At 32.4% G+C, this 18,284-nt stretch overlaps 2 long non-coding RNA genes across 2 annotated transcripts in view; one reads left to right on the forward strand and one right to left on the reverse strand.

Moving 5' to 3' along the window:
* LINC02899 (long intergenic non-protein coding RNA 2899) overlaps positions 1–18,284 on the forward strand; it is a 226,918-nt gene that overhangs the window by 179,343 nt on the left and 29,291 nt on the right. The window lies entirely within an intron of this gene.
* LOC124901173 (uncharacterized) lies at positions 3,544–18,084 on the reverse strand. Its single transcript, XR_007059124.1, has 2 exons — positions 9,198–18,084; positions 3,544–4,697 (listed from the first exon to the last, which is right to left on the reverse strand). It is a non-coding gene; the product is annotated as an uncharacterized LOC124901173 (long non-coding RNA).

Raw genomic sequence — 18,284 nt, forward strand, 5'->3', positions numbered from 1 at the left:
GAATAAGCAACAGCACTCATTTACCAAAAGATGCTAAAGAAGCATAATTTTCTTTTTTATCCCCTCTTCCTTAGCCATTGGCAATGTTTTCTGTTCTACAATCTCATTAACTAGACTAAAAAAAAACATGAAACTTTTCAAATAACTCCTTTAATCGTTATTAGAGGACATCATTTTCAAAATAAATGTGTAGACTGTTATTTTTAACAGCATATCAGATCTATTTATTTTGCTATTGCAATCTAGTTTTGCAATTTGATCTTGGTTTATTGTTCCCTCCAAGCCCCATCCCTTTATTATGTTATATTTTGTTAGGGCCCTCTTTTGTTAATGTTTCTTACAATCCAATTTATGAAACATACTTTAACTTTCAAGCCATGAATGACTCAAGTTAATGCCTTTCTAAATGTGAACCACAATCCATAGGATTCGAATTGTTTAATATAAAAATGATTAGATTGCTTTGTATCTCAGAGCATGATTGAACACGTCTGTGATGAGTTTCAGAGCATGTAAAACACCTTCAAAACTTGTCATTTCTTTGATCTTTTACAAAATGAACAACCCACATCTGTGCCGATGGGTTTTTTCATTAGCCTCTCAGTGATCTGACTCTAATCACTCTTTTCTGCTGTGTAAATTATATTTACTATAGACAAAAGCTGACATCTTATAATGTCTACCGATTATACTTCTATAACAGCACAGAGGCAGCTTATGAAGTCATTTGCCATATTTATTTTGTATCTTCAGTTCTGTTTCTGAATTCAATTATTTTTATTATAGGTAGAGCAAGATGAAAAATTACTCAACTGTATAATTGTTTTCATGATAAAATAGAGTATAATTTTCTAAATCTGTGTAATATTTAATATATGTATTATGTGGGTCACAAAATCCATTATGCACTATTAAATAATAATATTTATAATTTATTTAAGGATGTGTAGGGGGTCAGTAGCTGTAATATTCACACATATTTGATCATTTTCATAGGAAATAGATGTTTCAAAATCAATTGTCCCTGATCATTCTTAATGATGTTAGGCATATTTGAAAGCTCCAAAACATTTGGAAAGGAGAAGAGTAAAAATGAAAATTTTGTTTTGATAGTATTGAAACTCTCAAAGCAATTTCACTAGTAAAGTATTTAGTCCCATTTTAATGTCCAAATCATTATAGTAAATCTTCATTTGATATTTCTCTTTCTCATTCAACTTTTTTACTTTGGTATTGGTGATGTTAATTTTAAATGCTCACTATTAACCATAAGTTCCTTAGCCTGAATGCCTATATATTAACATTCAATAACAAGAGTGTTTTCAATGTATAACAGAACTCATTACTTTAAAAGTCTGTCAGAAAAACAAATACTCATTGTTAATGTGAACTCTGCATTTAGTAATTCCTTCTCACATTTATATCAGTTTGTCACTTATTAGACCAAATGAAAGTACAAAGATGTTCCTATTATACTAAAGGAAATATAGATAAATTACAAATTTATAAATCATATTTCTCTTTGACCAAAATGGTCCAAGAACCCTTAAACAATAAAACTATCATTGGTTTAGGAGCTGGGATGCACAGTAAGTCACAAATCAGCACAAGGTATTTGAAAAGGTATTTTCAAAAGTAATCTGTAAAGAAGAGAGAAGAAAGAAGAAAGGAGGAAGAAAGAAGAAAGAAGGAAAAAAGAAGAAGGAGGAGGAGAGGGAGAAGGAGGGGAGGGGGAGAAGAAGGGGGAGAGGAGGAGGAGGATGAGACAGTTACTAGGGCAGGGAGGGAGAGGAGGAGGTGGGAGAGGGATGGGGAGGGGGAGGGGGAGGAGAGAAAAAAAAGAGAACCAGAAAGAATATGGTTTTAGGTAGCCAAGCTGTGACAAAACTGGCCAAAATGGGACTATCAATGAAAAAATTTAAAAAACAACATAATGGTAATTTTATTTAAATATGTCTTTTGTGCAAAATAAAGCTAAAGTAAACTTTGGTAACCTTCTGAAGTCAATATATTTGCCTTGCTGTGGGTATAGTTTGTAATTATTGTTTTCAACTTTGTATATATACTCATGATTTAATCCATCAGAAATATGTTGGGGTGAGAGCACGTTTGTCTTTTGTTATACTTTCTGAACAATTATGTCTGCCTAATCCTGCTATTAGTGGCCTCCTCAACTAGATACTTAAAATAAGAATTAAGAAAAATAAGATTATTTGAGTGATATTTCAATATCTTTCATGTTAGCATGGAATGGAAAGGGAAGGAAAAGGAAGGGACGTAAACAAGTGCAAAAAGAGGAGAATAAAAATAGGTGAATTTCATTACAGAACAGATAATTCTGCTGTTAAGTGTCAAGACATGTACAACTGAATTGAAAAGTAATTACATTTAGTCATAATCACCAGTACTTTTGATATTCAGTCTTCTCTCTTAAAGAAAAAATACATTGGATGGGAGGAAATGCTTATGGGAGTGGATTCAGTTATAAAGAGGCATTTTGTTTTGCTTTCATCTGGCATTGAATGACAATGGTCAGGACTAAAGTCATATAGTTATGTATTTGTGTATGCATGAATACATTAATTTAGTATATGTATCTATACATTTATGAAAGACAAATTTAATTCCATATCAATGTTAATAACAATTATAAATTTAAAGCTTTGAATTCAATGATTTAAAAATATAACAAAATAACATCAGAATATTAGACCTGTATTTTCTCTATATTTGATGGACAAAAATATAGAATGCACAGAACACTTGTGCAACACAAATAAGAAATTTGCATAACATAAACATGTTTGACATGATGAATTATGTTGCACTCTGCCCTCAAAAAGATAACAGGAAATAAGAATTTAAAAATATAGCGGCACATCTACAGAAGCAACAACTTAATAGATAACAAAATTACTCAAAATTTTAAATATCAATTATATATTATATTGTCTAAGAAAGTCAATTGTATTAGAAATTGTAAAGATAGTGTTATATATCACCAATAAATTTGGAAATTTAATAAAAGCCCTACTAAATAACTTTTGGTTTAAAGAATATGTTACAAAGGAAATATGGCCTCAACTGAAGGACATTAAGTATGCTATATAAAAACCATGAGATACGTGAGTATAGTGACACATGGAGGTATTATTACAGCCTAAACCCATCGCTTCAGAAAACGTTTGAAAATCACTAAGTTTGAAATGAGACACTAACTCACGAAATTAAAATAAAACTGTATGTCTTTTCAAAATAATAATGATAATCTCATGTAATAATGAATAGAAACCAAAGAGAAAACAGAAAGTGTATATGTTTAGAAGCCTACAAAACAGTAACAGATATGATGTTCTTAAACAAGAAAATAGTAAATATCTAAGAAAATGGCAAATATGAAAAAAATTACCTTAGGAATGACGAAGATGACATATATACGCCTATGTTCATTCTATGAAAAATGCAGTGCCAGTAAATTTAAAATATATTTTGAGAAATTTTAGGCATACAAATAGTATCAAATAATTATGACATAAAACAAAATTTTATCAAACCAAATATACAGTTTACTCATGAAGTGTACATTGGTGGATGGTTAAGACGAGGAAAGAATTCCATCCTTCACCCTTAACTTTGATGTCTGCTGTGGGTTTGTCCTAGATGCTGTTTAACAGGTTAAGGAATTTATCTTCTTTACCTACTTTGTTGAGTGTCTTTATGATAAAGAATTGGTGGAGTTTGTCAAATGCTTTTTCTACCTCTATTAAAATAATCATGTAATTTTTCCCTTTATTCATTTGGTATGGTTTATTACATTAATTGATTTTAAGATATTAAACTAACTTTCAATTATGAAAAAATTCCCTCTTGGATATGGTTCAGAATTCTTTTTCTATATTGCTAGTATTTTGTTGAGAAATTTTTTGGCTGCATTCATAAAAAATATTGGTCTGTAGTTTTTATTTTGTTTCCTTGTTGATTTTTTTTTTTTTTTTGGATTTGATGTCGACATAATACTGACCTCATAAAATTTTCTGGGACATGTTCCTCTATTTTTCTTGGAAGAACTTGTGAAGTATTGGTATTAATTCTTCTTTAAATGATTGGGAGAATCACCAGGGAAGCCATATGAGTCTGAGTTTTCTTTCTGAGCGGCTTCTTTTCTTTATTATTAGTTTAATACCAATTAAATATAGATTATTTTGAAGGGGCAGCTCTTGAGGTAAGATTTTGGTTTTTTTCGGCCCCAGAAAGGCATTTTCTTAGCAGTGTGTTCATCATTCTTTCTGGCAAACTACTGGACCAATGGTTTAACTTGTATATCTCATGAAGTTACCACCCTTCTCTTCTTCTCTTAGTTACCTGTCAACAATTTCCCATTGTTTTTGAGGGTACCCTTATGTTTTAACTTTTTCAAACTCTGTTTTAATAAAATCCATTTCTTTGGGAAACTTTCAGAGTTTTGTTTGTTTATTTGTTTGTTTGTTTGTTTGTTTTTCCTGCATTTCACCCTGGGCAAAATCTCTAAGCAATGGTTCTGAGTTTGGGGCAGAAGCAGTCGCATGATTCTTTCTGAATGACGTCCCTGCTTTAGGATTGGAGTAGTAGCCTACAGTCTTTTCAGGTTTTCCACCCTACAAATAAGCGGTAGTAGTATGAGTGATCGAGGCAAACTGCAGTGTTCCCAATCACTGTGCCTGAAAAAAAGAGACAGAGAGAGAGAGAGAAAGGAGAGAGACTTTTAGGAATTATTTTCATAAAATAGACAGTGGTATTTTTAACTGTTTTCAAATTTTATATTGGAATCCCCCATTCTGGATGGTATTGTGAGATGCTCTGTGGACTGAAACAAGCATATCTGGTCAGAATTGAAAAAACAACCATTTAAATTATCTGGAAATTGTCATAAGGGAATACTACAGATGAAGAAATATATATTCTAAAAAAATCCACTAATACTAGGTAGAGACAGTGAGAATGTGTCAGTTGAACCATGATTCTCTCCCTCCCTCACCCACCTGCCAAGTTCAGCATAGCTGTAATTCCATTCCAGGCAGGTATAGTCATATAGCCAGAAACACATGGCTGTCTCTCCCCTTGATTATGGTATCTTCCTAGGAGAACTGGATTTCTTATTAGAGCTTTCTCCATTTTGTTTGGTTTCTATTGTAACTAAAAACTAACCAAATGTTTGGTTTTTCCTATATTTTAAAATCTGTTTCATTATTTTTATGTCTGTGCATGTCACAAATTCTATGTAATTTACAAATTTATTAGTCTTATATATTTTAATAGATATTTATAAACAAATATTGAACCTGAATCTTTGAACTATATTTGTCTCTTTCATTTGAGGTTTTTTTTTAACAAATTTATCTCATTTTGGTCATAATTCACTTGGTGAAACTTTTTGTGTGTGTTTCCTTTGAGTCAAATTGGTAGTACATAGAAAATATTACATTTATATGCAAAATTGCATTTTGCCACTATCTCAGCTTTAAAATGTAAGTCTCATATTAGCAATTAATATGTGTAAAACATTTTTATAATATCTCATAAGAGAAAGTCAATATTCAGAAGTGAATTTCTGGCCAAGCTAATACATTATATTATTTTTGATGCAACCTAATTAGCTCTTACACCACAGCCTCTGCTGAAACTGACTTTGCATTAACCGTCATTCACTAGATTCCTTGATGAGTATGAGGTTCAGCCTCTAGCAAACACTCTGAGTTGCACTCTGTAATGGTGATATTTGGAAATGCTGTTCACTGAATGTTTTATTTACTCACCAAATGTTCTTATTGACTTAATTATTAGTGCCATTATTGCTTCTAAAAGACTGCTAGAACAAAGGAAAAAATTTGAGTCAGATATTTGGCATGTTTTCTCCCTGCCCTTTTTTTTTTTTTTAGAAAAAAAAAAATATTGTTCAGGGTGTTTTCAAATGTAAGCCATTTGCATAAGAAATTATTGCAAAATATAGACATCATTTCCACATAAAATTCTATTCGAAGCATCATATGTCATGTGAAAAAATGTCATAAAAATTCTTTTCTGAAGTGGATTTAATGTTTTTGCCAAATTCATATTACCAGACCATACATAATCCCTTTACCTTTCAATAGTTGATAATATTTTTAGTTATAGTCATAGCTAAATAACCCATATTACTCAAGATTGAGAGGCAGGAAGGGGATGCACAAAGAACATTGTTGTTAATGGTAACTGCTATTTGGGCCCTAGTGGTATTGATATTCTCCCTCAAATCAACCTATCGAAATTCTATATATTGAAGGACAAGGCTTTGTGCTTTCCCCAAATTCATATGTTGCAGCCCTCAACTTCCAGTTTCATTATATTTACAGATGGAGTCTTTGGGAGGTAATTAAGTCATGAGGTTGGAGCCCTTATGAGTGAGATTAGTATCCATAGGCAAATAGACATAAGGGGATAATGTCTCAATCTCTCTCTCTCTCACCCTGTCTCTCTCTCTCTCTCTCTCTCTCCATGTGTGTGTGTCTCTTTCTCTTTCCCTCTTCCCTCTTTCCCTCTGCCCTATGAGGATATGGTAAGAAGAAAACCTTTTGAAAGCCATAAACAGAACTCACCAGGAACAAATCAGCTGGCATTTTGGTCTCCAGACATCAGAATTGTAAAAAATAAATGTCTTTTAAACCACTCAGTTTAGGACATTCTGTTATAGCAGACGGAGCAGACTGGGACAGACAATTTAAATATATCAAATGAGGCCTTAACTTATTATTTCTCATATCTACCAATAACATTAATGATATTCTACTTTTTCATGTTTATTTGTGAGTATGCATCTCATCTCTCTTAATAAACAGTAAATTATTTTATATCAGGCAAATTTTTACTGACTGTTTTGCAAGAGTCCTAGCATAATTCTGTGCACATATTAGGTGTAAGCAGTATTTGTTGAATTTAATTAGGAGCCATTAGTGAATTTCAATATGAATTGTTTAAACAGACATTATAACAAATTTAGTTTACACTTAGATTTATTCTTTTTTTTTTTTTCTAATCTCCTCTGGTTAAAAGTTTTAAAAAGTTTATACATGGGGTATTTTTGAAAAAGATACAAGGCCTAATGTATATTGGATTTAATTTTTGACAAGGGAGTTGATAAGAAGATTGTTGATAATCCATGATAGCCAGGTAAAAAACTTTCGCAATTAAAATATAACATTATATGTCATGTTAGGAATTTCAAAAGCTTTACAAGTATTACCACGAGATGATGTCCTCATGCTTTAAGGATGCTTTTTATGTAATCTCTCTTAAATTTTTTACAATAGAAGAGAATATAATAACCAAAGCAAGCACACAAATTTGCTTTTTGAATCTCTAATCTTTCCAGCATTTTAAGAGATTCATGTTGAATCAAATATGTGCCCTTTCTAATCCTCCTTTGAAGGGCACAGTGAATGATTATACCTAGTTTCAATTTCTGATTTATTTGCTCTTCAGAGGAGAAGATAATTGTAAAAAATTGGCTCACAAATTTAAGAAAATGTCTACAAGTATTTTTACTTATATTTTTCATTCTTTGATAGTAAAGAAACAATATGTAAAAAAAAAAAAAAAAATTGTAAGCCACCAATACAAGCTTTCAACATTTCTCCCAGAAAAGGGAGTTTAGCTTTTTCTAAAGCATTTTGCTTATTCTGACACATCTGCAAATCCCAGGATTTTTTTTTCCTAAAATGTCTGATTTTAAGCATTATATCAAAGAAACTGTATGTATCAAAATGTTACTGTTTTTGTTTTTTATTTTATTATTTTTTAATTATGTATTTTTTTCAGTTCTACATGTGCAGTATGTGCAGGTTTGTTATATTTCATACCTAAATTCACACATCACCAAAATGAATCAATGTATGCCAGGATTTTTCAACCTTTGCTCTATTGACATGTTGGACTGCATAATTCTTTGAGAGGATAACTGATAGAGTTTGTATATTTGTCCCTGCCTCAATTCCATGTTGAATCCCCAGTACTGGGCATGGGGCCTGGTAAGACGTGATTGGACCCTGGGAGCTGATTTCTCATGAATCATTTAGCATCATACGCTTGGTGCTGTCCTCGCGATAATGAGCAAGTTCTCATGAGATCTGGCTGTTTGAAAGTGTGTGGCATCTCTTTCTCTCTCTTAATCTTTCTCTGTCTCTTGCATTCATGATGTGACACGCCTTCCCCCATGAGTAAAAGCACCCTGAGGCCTTCCCAGAAGCTGAAGGAATTTGGCGCTATGCTTCCTATACAGCCTCCAGAACCCTGAGGCAATTAATTCTCTTTTATTTATAAATTACCCAGTCTCAGGGATTTCTTTATAGCAATGCAAGAACGGCTTAATACAGTGACTGTATTGTTTATGTCAGGATTTTAACAGAACCCCTTGCCTCTATGCTCTAGATGAGTAGTATCCAGTATTTCTGGCACCAGGGACCAATTTTGTGGAAGACAATTTTTCCAAGGATGAGGGCGGGGGATAAAACTTTTCCACCTCATATCATCAGGCATTAGATTATCATAAGGAGCACACAACCTAGATCCCTCACATGTGCAGTCACAATGGGGTCCACGCTCCTATGAGAATCTAATGCCACAGCTGATCTGACTGGAGGCAAACTCAGGCAGTAATGCTTGCCCTCCCCTCACCTTCTGCTGTGGAGGCCTAGTTCCTAATAGGCCATGGACTAGCAGCAGTCCATGGTCCAGGGGTTGGGGATTCAGAGCAGATGTTAAGAGCAAGAAAGTGCAAAGGGGATTAAAAATAAAGTTATATTGTAGATGTCAGAAGCATCAATGATGAATGAAAGAAATTTGAAATTTAGCAACGTTTACAAAAGAATATTTGCAGGTTTAAAGTGCTTTTGGAGTTAGAAAATTGTCTAGACTGAATACATTGTTTATTGTTTAGACTGAGTAAAGAAAACATTAGTCAACAAAGGCTCCTGTGGGGAAGGTCTCTCTCTGCTCAAAATGAGGTAGACAAAAAGAAGACTAGGTTTTGAAGAAAACGACATAAAACTTTGGGCACATTGAATTTGAGATATTGATGAGGTATAGTCATGCTAGTGATGCAGAAATATAGAAATTTAAGCCTGAAACTCAACTGAAAGGATGGATTTACACATATAAATCAAGAATAATTAATGTTTAATTCTTACCAGGAACCATAAGATTACTCCGGTAGAGCATATTTGAGAAGAAAATAGATCTTGACAGGAATCTTGAAATAAACAATATCTAAGGGACAGATAAAGAACCTATTAGAAGAAAAAAATACACATTAATACAGATATAGAAGAACCAGATGAGTTTTTGCTTATAATTTACAGGGGGCTGTTGGATTTAATAAACTGAAAGTCATCTTTGATTAATGAATGGGAAGTTCAAATAATTTTTGACCCACATATAAAGAGAGAAATCACAAAAATGTCATAAAAGGATAGCAGCCACACAGGAAGGGCTTTAAATATATATTTTTAAAATTTTGATGTATTTATTTATTTTTGTCTAGCAAGTGAATCTGAGTGAGTCAGATTCAGCAAGATTTAAATTATATTTTTAAACACTGACATATAATCTATAATCTCCATTTTTTGTTTAAAATATGAAGTACAAATGCAAATTTTGAGATTCCTGATCAGTGATTTATCTCAATCTAGAAAAGTATGTATACAAAAGCAAAATAAAATGAGATACTTGATTGCTTAGCATTTAATTGGAGCAAAAGGTTTTAGTTTGATGATCTTATTGGTCAATGTAAAAAATTATAAAACACGCATAAACTATATTTTTCCCCTATTAATCTACCCTATAGAAATATTTAAACATATGTTCTATAAAGCGTCACTTTCTATACACACATTGGGTAATTCTCTTTCATTTTGAATGTGGGTTTGGCCGTATAACTTGCCTTGTTCTGTAGGATACCCGTAGATATAACACAGGTAGAGAAATTAAAAGTATTTGCTCATTGGAACATTTCCTCAAGTTCTGATGGAATTTCTTCTTTCACTACATGAACTAATCAAGATGCATCCATCCATTGACTAATAAGAGATCAAATGGAGAGTGGCTTCAGACATCCTGCCTTTTTAGCTGAGAATCCAGATGTATGAGTTAGATGAGTTAACCCATTCTAGGTAAATCTGTCACAGCTTGGCCAAATCAGATAAGAATGCCGTGCTAAAACACAGAATAATGACAGACAATAAACAGCTTTTTGGAAGGGGAGAGGACACTACATTTTGTGCTGGTTTATTACAAGTGAGATATACATACCCATCATTCTTCATTCCATTTTACACAACTTTATTCTGAGCCAGTCAGGTGGGAAGTGGTCCCTGGAGAGACTTCAACCAGCCTGCCCACTGAGGTAGAGCCTTGGGAAGTTCACGACATTTGCAGCAGGGAGGAGCCTGGCTCTTCTTCTTCTTTTATGGAACCAGGGATTTAAATGGCAAGGCGGGAAGCACTCCAGCTGGGATCCTGGCCTAGCGAGAGTCCCTGTTTCCCCTTTTTCTTCTTTCTCACCCAATAAAACCCTGTCTTACTCACCATTCAAATTGTCTGCAAGCCCAGATTTTCCTGGCTGTGGGACAAAGAAACCAGTCTTTAGCTGAACTAAGGAAAAGTCCTGCAACAAATCCATCCTGGTAGTTATTTTAGATGATTTTACATAAGCAAGACAGACAAAATGTGACCTCCAAGATTAGCTACTCGTGATATAGGGTGGCCAGTGCCTAAATTAGTCCTTTAGACATGCTGTCAGAATTTTACTGTAACTGAGATTACTGTTTCTTTATCTGTCAAAATATAATTAGGCCATAAATTCCACTACATGATGCCAATAATAATAATAATTAGACTATTTAAAATTTACCACTTGCTAAAGCAGTACTAGGAGTTAATATGAAAGACAGAAGGCATTTCAACAGCAACAACCCTAGTGTGATATCAGGTGTTGGTGTTATCAATTTATAATAGATTGCTCTCATATTGAAAACATGTTTCCAAATCTGTCAACAAGTGATTTAATAGATGCACAGATATTCTAATGCTGTATAATTATATTAGCATATTTAAGGAGCTAGCCATAACAATGTACTAAAATAAACTTGTTAAAAATATGATTAAAGATACTCTAAATTTTAAGTTGAAACATTAATCAATCTCTATACCCAAGAAGACTTTTTAAAATCAATTCATTATTACATGAATATTATTAACACATACATTACTGCATAAGAGTTTCTGGAGGAGTAAATCCTTGATGTATTAAGAAAGGGTTTCACTGCAGGGATCCAGTTATTTTGAACGAAAAGAGATTTGATGCAGAAAATTGGGTGCTTATAAAATGTGTATTCATTTCAAGATAGTTTATTTATTTCTTTATAAAAATGATTTTTTTTCAATGTTATCCTTTTTGTTGCCTAGGGAGAAAATAAAATTCTTTTACAATTTTAAAATACATGTACTCACTCTATTTTTAGACTTCTTTTGTTTTGTGTTTCTTTGAGAGAGCTATTTTATGCGTTATAGTTATAATATTTCCTTACAATGAGTTTAGTTTTTCTTTGTTTTGTTTTGTTGTGTTTTGTTGTTGTATTCTCTTAAGATATGTTCTTTTTGATTGTAAGCTCAGTTAAAATAGATTTGCTGGGTTGGTTATTTTTTGTTTTGATGAAAGTCTACTGTTAATACATTTTTCAGAAAACTTTTCCATAGAGCAGTTTTAAATTTTCCGTCTGCTCTCACAGGAGAATTTAACAGTTCTGGACACTATGTTATTTTTCATTTTTGGATCCCTGCATGTGTGGGTGGAATACATTTTGATTCACTAACTCCTACGCTGGTTTGAGATTTTGACTTCTCACAAGGAAATTTTTTTCTCTCTGTCTCTCAGAGGTCTGTATCTATTGTACACCTCCTTTCTGCCTCACCAGGCCCAGTAAGAAGGGATAATTTTAGTTCCTATTATGAGAATGTTACTGTATTTTAGATACCCAGCATTTATTGAGAATCTCAGTTTTCTCTTTATGAGTTATACAGGCTCAGGGCACAGTCTATTGTCCTTAACTTTGTTCAGAATTTCTGCCCCAGTCTAGGTCCTTGTCATCATAATTTCAGCTTCCAGATTACTTGATTTTACTTGTTTCCAATTTTTTTTAACCTAAAAGTTTTAATTACAAATTATCCAGAATAGTATTTCCATTTGTTCGTAGATTGAGAAAGCAAGCTGTATCACCTTCCTTCTCCATGTTTCAGGAAGTTGTCTCATTTGCTCTGAAAATATTAGATACATGTAATAACCACATAAATATATTATTTTTTCAAAATTGTCAGTGCATATTTTTAACTTAATGTTCTATTAAAGTTTGTGGAAATTAATATGCATTAAAAGTATTTGAATTCAGCATCTAACACTTTGAACAATCAAAGAAAATAACAAATGTATTAAACCTGAACTTAAAATGATTAAGCAAGATAAATAAAAACATAGTAAATTAAACGTAAATTAATATTTTATGCATACCTTTTGATCTTTAGTTGCATATTCTTAATGTGAAAATTTTTAAATTACACCAGGCATACATTTTCAAAATCAGTCTCCCTCTACAAGACTGTAGATTGTGAATCAGTCTCATTGGTATCTTTTTTAGTAAAAGAAAGCTCATCAGTCTGTCATATTATACATTTTATTTTTGATTAACTACCACTCTAGAATTCTCATAAGTTTTAATATACTTTTCAACAACAGTCATCCTAATTCCACTGTCTGAATAAAAACAGAACAAGTATTTTTCTTTTTCTACATAAAGATTTTCAAATATTTGAAGAAAATTCACCATTGTATTCCAAATATTAACTTTCAACCGCTTTTGTGTTCCTCAGATAACACTGCTTTCAAATTTTTTATTACCTTAGTCATTCATCCATTCTTAAGTTAATTTTAAACTTAGGAGTCTAAAATAGATAATCTATAGGTAGTTCAGCAGGCACTGAAAGCAATTTTACTTCTTTTGAAGTAGACACTTGATATTACATCACATTAAATTTGCATTATCTCTTAGACTGACTTCTTTGAACAAGTATGCCCATTCACGTCTCCTTATTCTCTAATACTACTAATCTTAATGTTAAAATATTCTTCTTTTTGTTCAGTACTTTCATTGTGTTTTCATTAGATGAAAGAATAACAGTGAAATAGAATTTATCTCTTATAATTATGTATATCTTCTCTAATATGTCCTCCATAATATTTGTACTTTAGCTTTAGGATTTATATAAATTAGTGTTATCATTTTCTCATGTGTTTTTTCCAAATGTCATAAAATTCAGACATTGTTTTTCTTTGGTAAAACAGGGTCAAAGTCAATTCTCTTACTTTCTCTTCAAAAAGTTGTTAAATAAATTAAATATAACAATATATGCATAACCTAATTACCAAAAGGAAAAATGACCCACAATGATCACCTGATAAGCAAAAGTAATTCCAGGCTTAAAAAAGAGAACAGTAAGATAAACTTAAGAATTATACTTATTTCCATTCATATTTGGTATTTTCCCAGTCATGACAGCCTCTTATGATTTAGATCATGTTTTTCTTTTTACCTAGTATACACATTTTTGCTTTTCTGCAGCCCTAATGAACTTACATTCTTCTAGACTTTGTTCAAACATCATTCTATTGTGGGCATGCCTATACTTTGACACATCATCTATTCTCCAATAAACACCAAATTTATTTGTAATAAGGTAGTTTGTCTTTCTATGAGCTTTTTGTCTGTATTTCTATATTTTTCCATCCCCAGAATAGAGTTGTCATTCGATTAATAAATGCTTTCTGAATAAAGAAAGAAAATAAGAAGAAATAAGCAAGAAACAAACACCAAAAGTAAAGTGCACATCTTAGGTGCAAAAAGTGTGAAGGCCTTAAAGACAAACATTGATTTATAGGCAAATTTCCTTAGGCCATACATTTTTATTATTATAATCTGTATTAAAATAAATGCATTTTTTATAAAATACATATTTTTAAAGCTGTCATCTAAAAGTTTGAAATAATTCTGTTAGATTTTTGAAAAATAGTGCAATTGTGTAATAATTAAAGCCTCATTTGTAAAACTGATAAAATAGAACATACTATAAAAGTCAATTTTGATCATGAAAATAATTCATCCTATAAAGGGTTTAGCATAGTTTCTGGTGTCAAAATCAGAAACTGTATCATAAATAATTTTTCTTCTATGAGTTCTGAACTACTTGAGAGATATGAACAATAGATTGGGAAATTGTAAATCAAAATATAAGCCTAATCAAATATTAAAATCTATCATCAACCCTAAAAAAATCACACATAGGATTTTTGGCCAGAATTTGGAATTTTGAGTAATTAAATTTAATTATCAATTATTATAGCCTTCTATGCAGAAAGTCTATTTTATTTATTATGAAATATGCTACTGACTGGGTATGGTTGTTCACGCCTGTAATCCCAGAACTTTGGGAGGCTGAGGCAGGCGGATCACCTGAGGTAGGGAGTTCGAGACCAGTCTGAACAACACGGAGAAACCCCATCTCTACTAAAAATATGAAATTAGCTGGGCGTTGCTTGGTTGCTCATACCTGTAACCCCAGCTACTTGGGGAGGCTGAGGGAGGAGAATGGCTTGAAACTGGGAGGCGGAGGTTGTGGTGAGCTGAGGCTGTTGCACTCCAGCCTGGGCAACAACCATCAACTGGGCAACTCCATCAAGAAGGAAAGAAAGAAGGAAAGAAAGAGAGAGAGAGAGAGAGAGGGAGAGAGAGAGAGAGAAAGAAAGAAAGAAGGAGGGAAAGAAAGAAAGAAAGAGAGAAAGAAAGGAAAAGAAAGAAAGAAAGAAAGAAAGAAAGAAAGAAAGAAAGAAAGAAAGAAAGAAAGAAAGAGAAGGAAAAGAAAGAGAAAGAAGGAAAGAAAAAGAAAGAAAGAAAGAAAGAAAGAAAGAAAGAAAGAAAGAAAGAAAGAAAGAAAGAAAGAAAGAAAAGAAAGAAAGAGAAAGGAAGGAAGGAAGAAAGGAAGGAAGGAAGGAAGGAAGGAAGGAAGGAAGGAAGGAAGGAAGGAAGGAAGGAAGGAAGGGATTGTGAATGTTCTATATTCAGGAGTAATTACATGTAATAAATAATTTCTCCATATGAAGGGAAAAACCTCTTCTAAGTAGATTTGTTAAATTACACAATAGCCACTATCATCACTGTACTTTATTTCATTTCCTGTCACTCTAGATTTCCAGTACTCATAAAGAGCCCAAGCCTCTCCTAGAATTTGAAAAATCAAGTTACTGTAAAATAAGGCCTCCCAAGGTTGCCACATTTAAAATCGGAGATTTCAGTATTAAATATTTGTAGGCCTTTGAAGCAGATGAAACACGGTATTTTTGTTTCAGTAGTATTCTCAGGTTGCCTCAAATACTGAAATTAAATCTATTCCCTACACCATCCATCTTCAAAGTTTGAACTAATCATCAGCAACTTGAAGATGTTCAGAAAAATGTTAAAATGATTATAGGTGTTTTAGTGCATGAAGGTCAGTGTGATATTCTGGAAGCATAAAATAATGTATTGAATGTTTACTCTCTTAGAATATGTATGTCTAGAGCTAAAGAGATATGTTACATTCCCGACATTGTTTCTTGTGAATGTTTAATTTGATGAATTTAAATTCTGAGAATAATAGTTTTCAGTTTCAATTAATTCAAGAACTGTTTCTGGGTAACTTCCTATACTTCAGCTACATGGCATTGAAAGAGGTCAGATAATTTCCTTCAACCATAAGGTTTTCTATGATAACAGTATTAAAAGACTTAAATTATAGAGAATGTATCCTATGAACACCAAACTAAGAAATTCAAAATCAATAAAATAATTTCTTTAGGCAATTCCCAAATATTTGAAAATTACAGATTCTGAAAAAATGCATAGGGCAGAGAAAAATATCACAAAGAAAATTAGAAAATATTTTAAGTGAATTATAAAGAAAATTCAAGACATCAAAATAAGTGTGATGTTGCAAAAGCAGTGCTTAGAGGAATATTATGACTTAAAATTTCATATTAAAAGTGAAGAAAGATAAAAATCTGTAGTCAGCTTTCAATTTATAACATTAGTAAAAAAGAAATATGAGAGCAAGAGAAAACTAAACAATTAGAAGAAAGGAAAAAAATAATTGTTTAATGTAATAGTTTTTGGGATGCAGGTGGTTTTTGGTTAGATAGATAAATTCTTTAGTGGTGATTTCTGAGACTGGTGAACCCATCACCCGAGAAGTGTCCACTGTACCCAATATGTAGTCTTTTATCCCTCAACCTCCTCCCAAATTGCTTCCTGTATTTCCAAAGTTAATTATACCATTCTTATGCCTTTACATCCTCATAGCTTAGCTCCCACTTATTGTAAGTGGGAACATACAATATTTGGTTTTCCATTCCTGAGTTACTTCACTTAGAATAATGGCCTCCAGCTCCACCCAAGTTGCTGCAAAGGCCATCATTTCATTTCGTGTGATGGCTCAGTAGTATTCCACGGTGTATATATACCGTGTTTTCTTTATCCATTCATTGGTTCATAGGTATTTAGGTTGATTTCATGTATTTGCCATTGAGAATTGTGCTACTATAAATGTGCATGTGCATGTTTCTCTTTCATAGAATGACTCGTTAGTAAATTTGCGAGCATACGTCAGTGAAATAGAAAAAAATTAACAAAGTCAAAAGCTATTTACTTTAAACAACATTGATCAAGCCTGTGCTACATTGGTCAAAAAAATGAATTAAAAATAATCCAGTAATGTTGGGAATAAAGCAGGTTTTATCCCTTCACATATTATAACCGTAATAAGGGAATATAACTTTATATTGACAAATGTGACAACTGAGTAAAAGGCACACATTTCTGAAAAAATGCAACTTACCAAAATTAAAAGATAAAACAGAAAATCTGAATAACTATATTAATTAAATTAAACTCATTATTAAAAAATAACTTTCTATAAAAAAATTCTAGGCCAGGCACAGTGGCTCAGGCCTGTAATTCCAACACCTTAGGAGGCTGATGCAGGAAGATTGCTTGAGCCCAGGAGTTCCAGACCAGCCTGCGCAATTTAGTGAGAACTTTTCTCTAGGAGAAAACAACAACAACAACAACAACAACAACAGAAAGCACATACAAATTAGCCAGGTCTGGTGGCGTATGCTTGTAGTCCCAGGAATTCATAAGACTGAGGTGGAGGATCAATTTAACTGGGCAAGTGAAGGCTGCAGTGAGTTAAGATTGCACATTTACTCCAACCTGTGCAACAAAGCAAGACCCTGTCTCAAAAAAATAATAATAACAGTAAAGAAAAGAAATTCCAGTACTAAAGAGTTCAGTTGGTGAATTGGATCAGACATTCAAGGATATAATTAAGTAAATTGTACACAAAGTCTTTAGAAAATAGTTAAAAACAATTCTCAACTGAACCTCCACAATGGAGTCAATATTTACACCATAAGAAGTACTGTTTAAGTGAAGTAATAATGCTACTGTTTGTTTATTTATAATCTTATTTATTTATTTTAATTTAAATGATTCGCTTTCAAGTGATACAACAAATTATTGATAAATTTGAGATTATTCTTCATATTCTCAGATTACTTTTTTAATAATCAACTTTTTAATAATCCTCTCATCCTCTGTAACTTGATATTCAAAATTATACGGTTTCTAATTTCAAAATACACAATCTCTAATAAGTAGCTTGAAATCTACTGAACCAATTCTTACTAACTTATTTACAGTAAGCTAATTTATTTTTGCCAATTCTAATTATTAGGTTTGGGATGGTTCTTTCTTTTTTTATTTTTTAAAGATTAAAACTTTTTTTAATTTCCATAGATTATTAGGGAACAGGTGGTGTTTGGTTACATGAATGAGTTCTTTAGTGGTGATTTCTGAGATTTTGGTGCACCCATCACCCGAGAAGTGTACACTGCACCCAATTTGTAGTCTTTTATTCCTCACCCCATTCCCACTCTTTCCCCGAGTCCCCAAAGTCCATTATGTCATACTTATGCCTTTGCCTCCTCATAGCTTAGCTCCAGCTTATGAGTGAGAACATACAATGTTTGGTTTTTCATTCCTGATTTACTTCACTTAGAATAATCATCTCCAGTCTCACCCAGGTCATTGTGAATGCCATTAATTCATTCCTTTTTGTGGCTGAGTAGTATTCCA

The sequence above is a fragment of the Homo sapiens genome, chromosome 5 (assembly GCF_000001405.40).
Source record: "Homo sapiens chromosome 5, GRCh38.p14 Primary Assembly".
Taxonomy (NCBI): domain Eukaryota; kingdom Metazoa; phylum Chordata; class Mammalia; order Primates; family Hominidae; genus Homo; species Homo sapiens.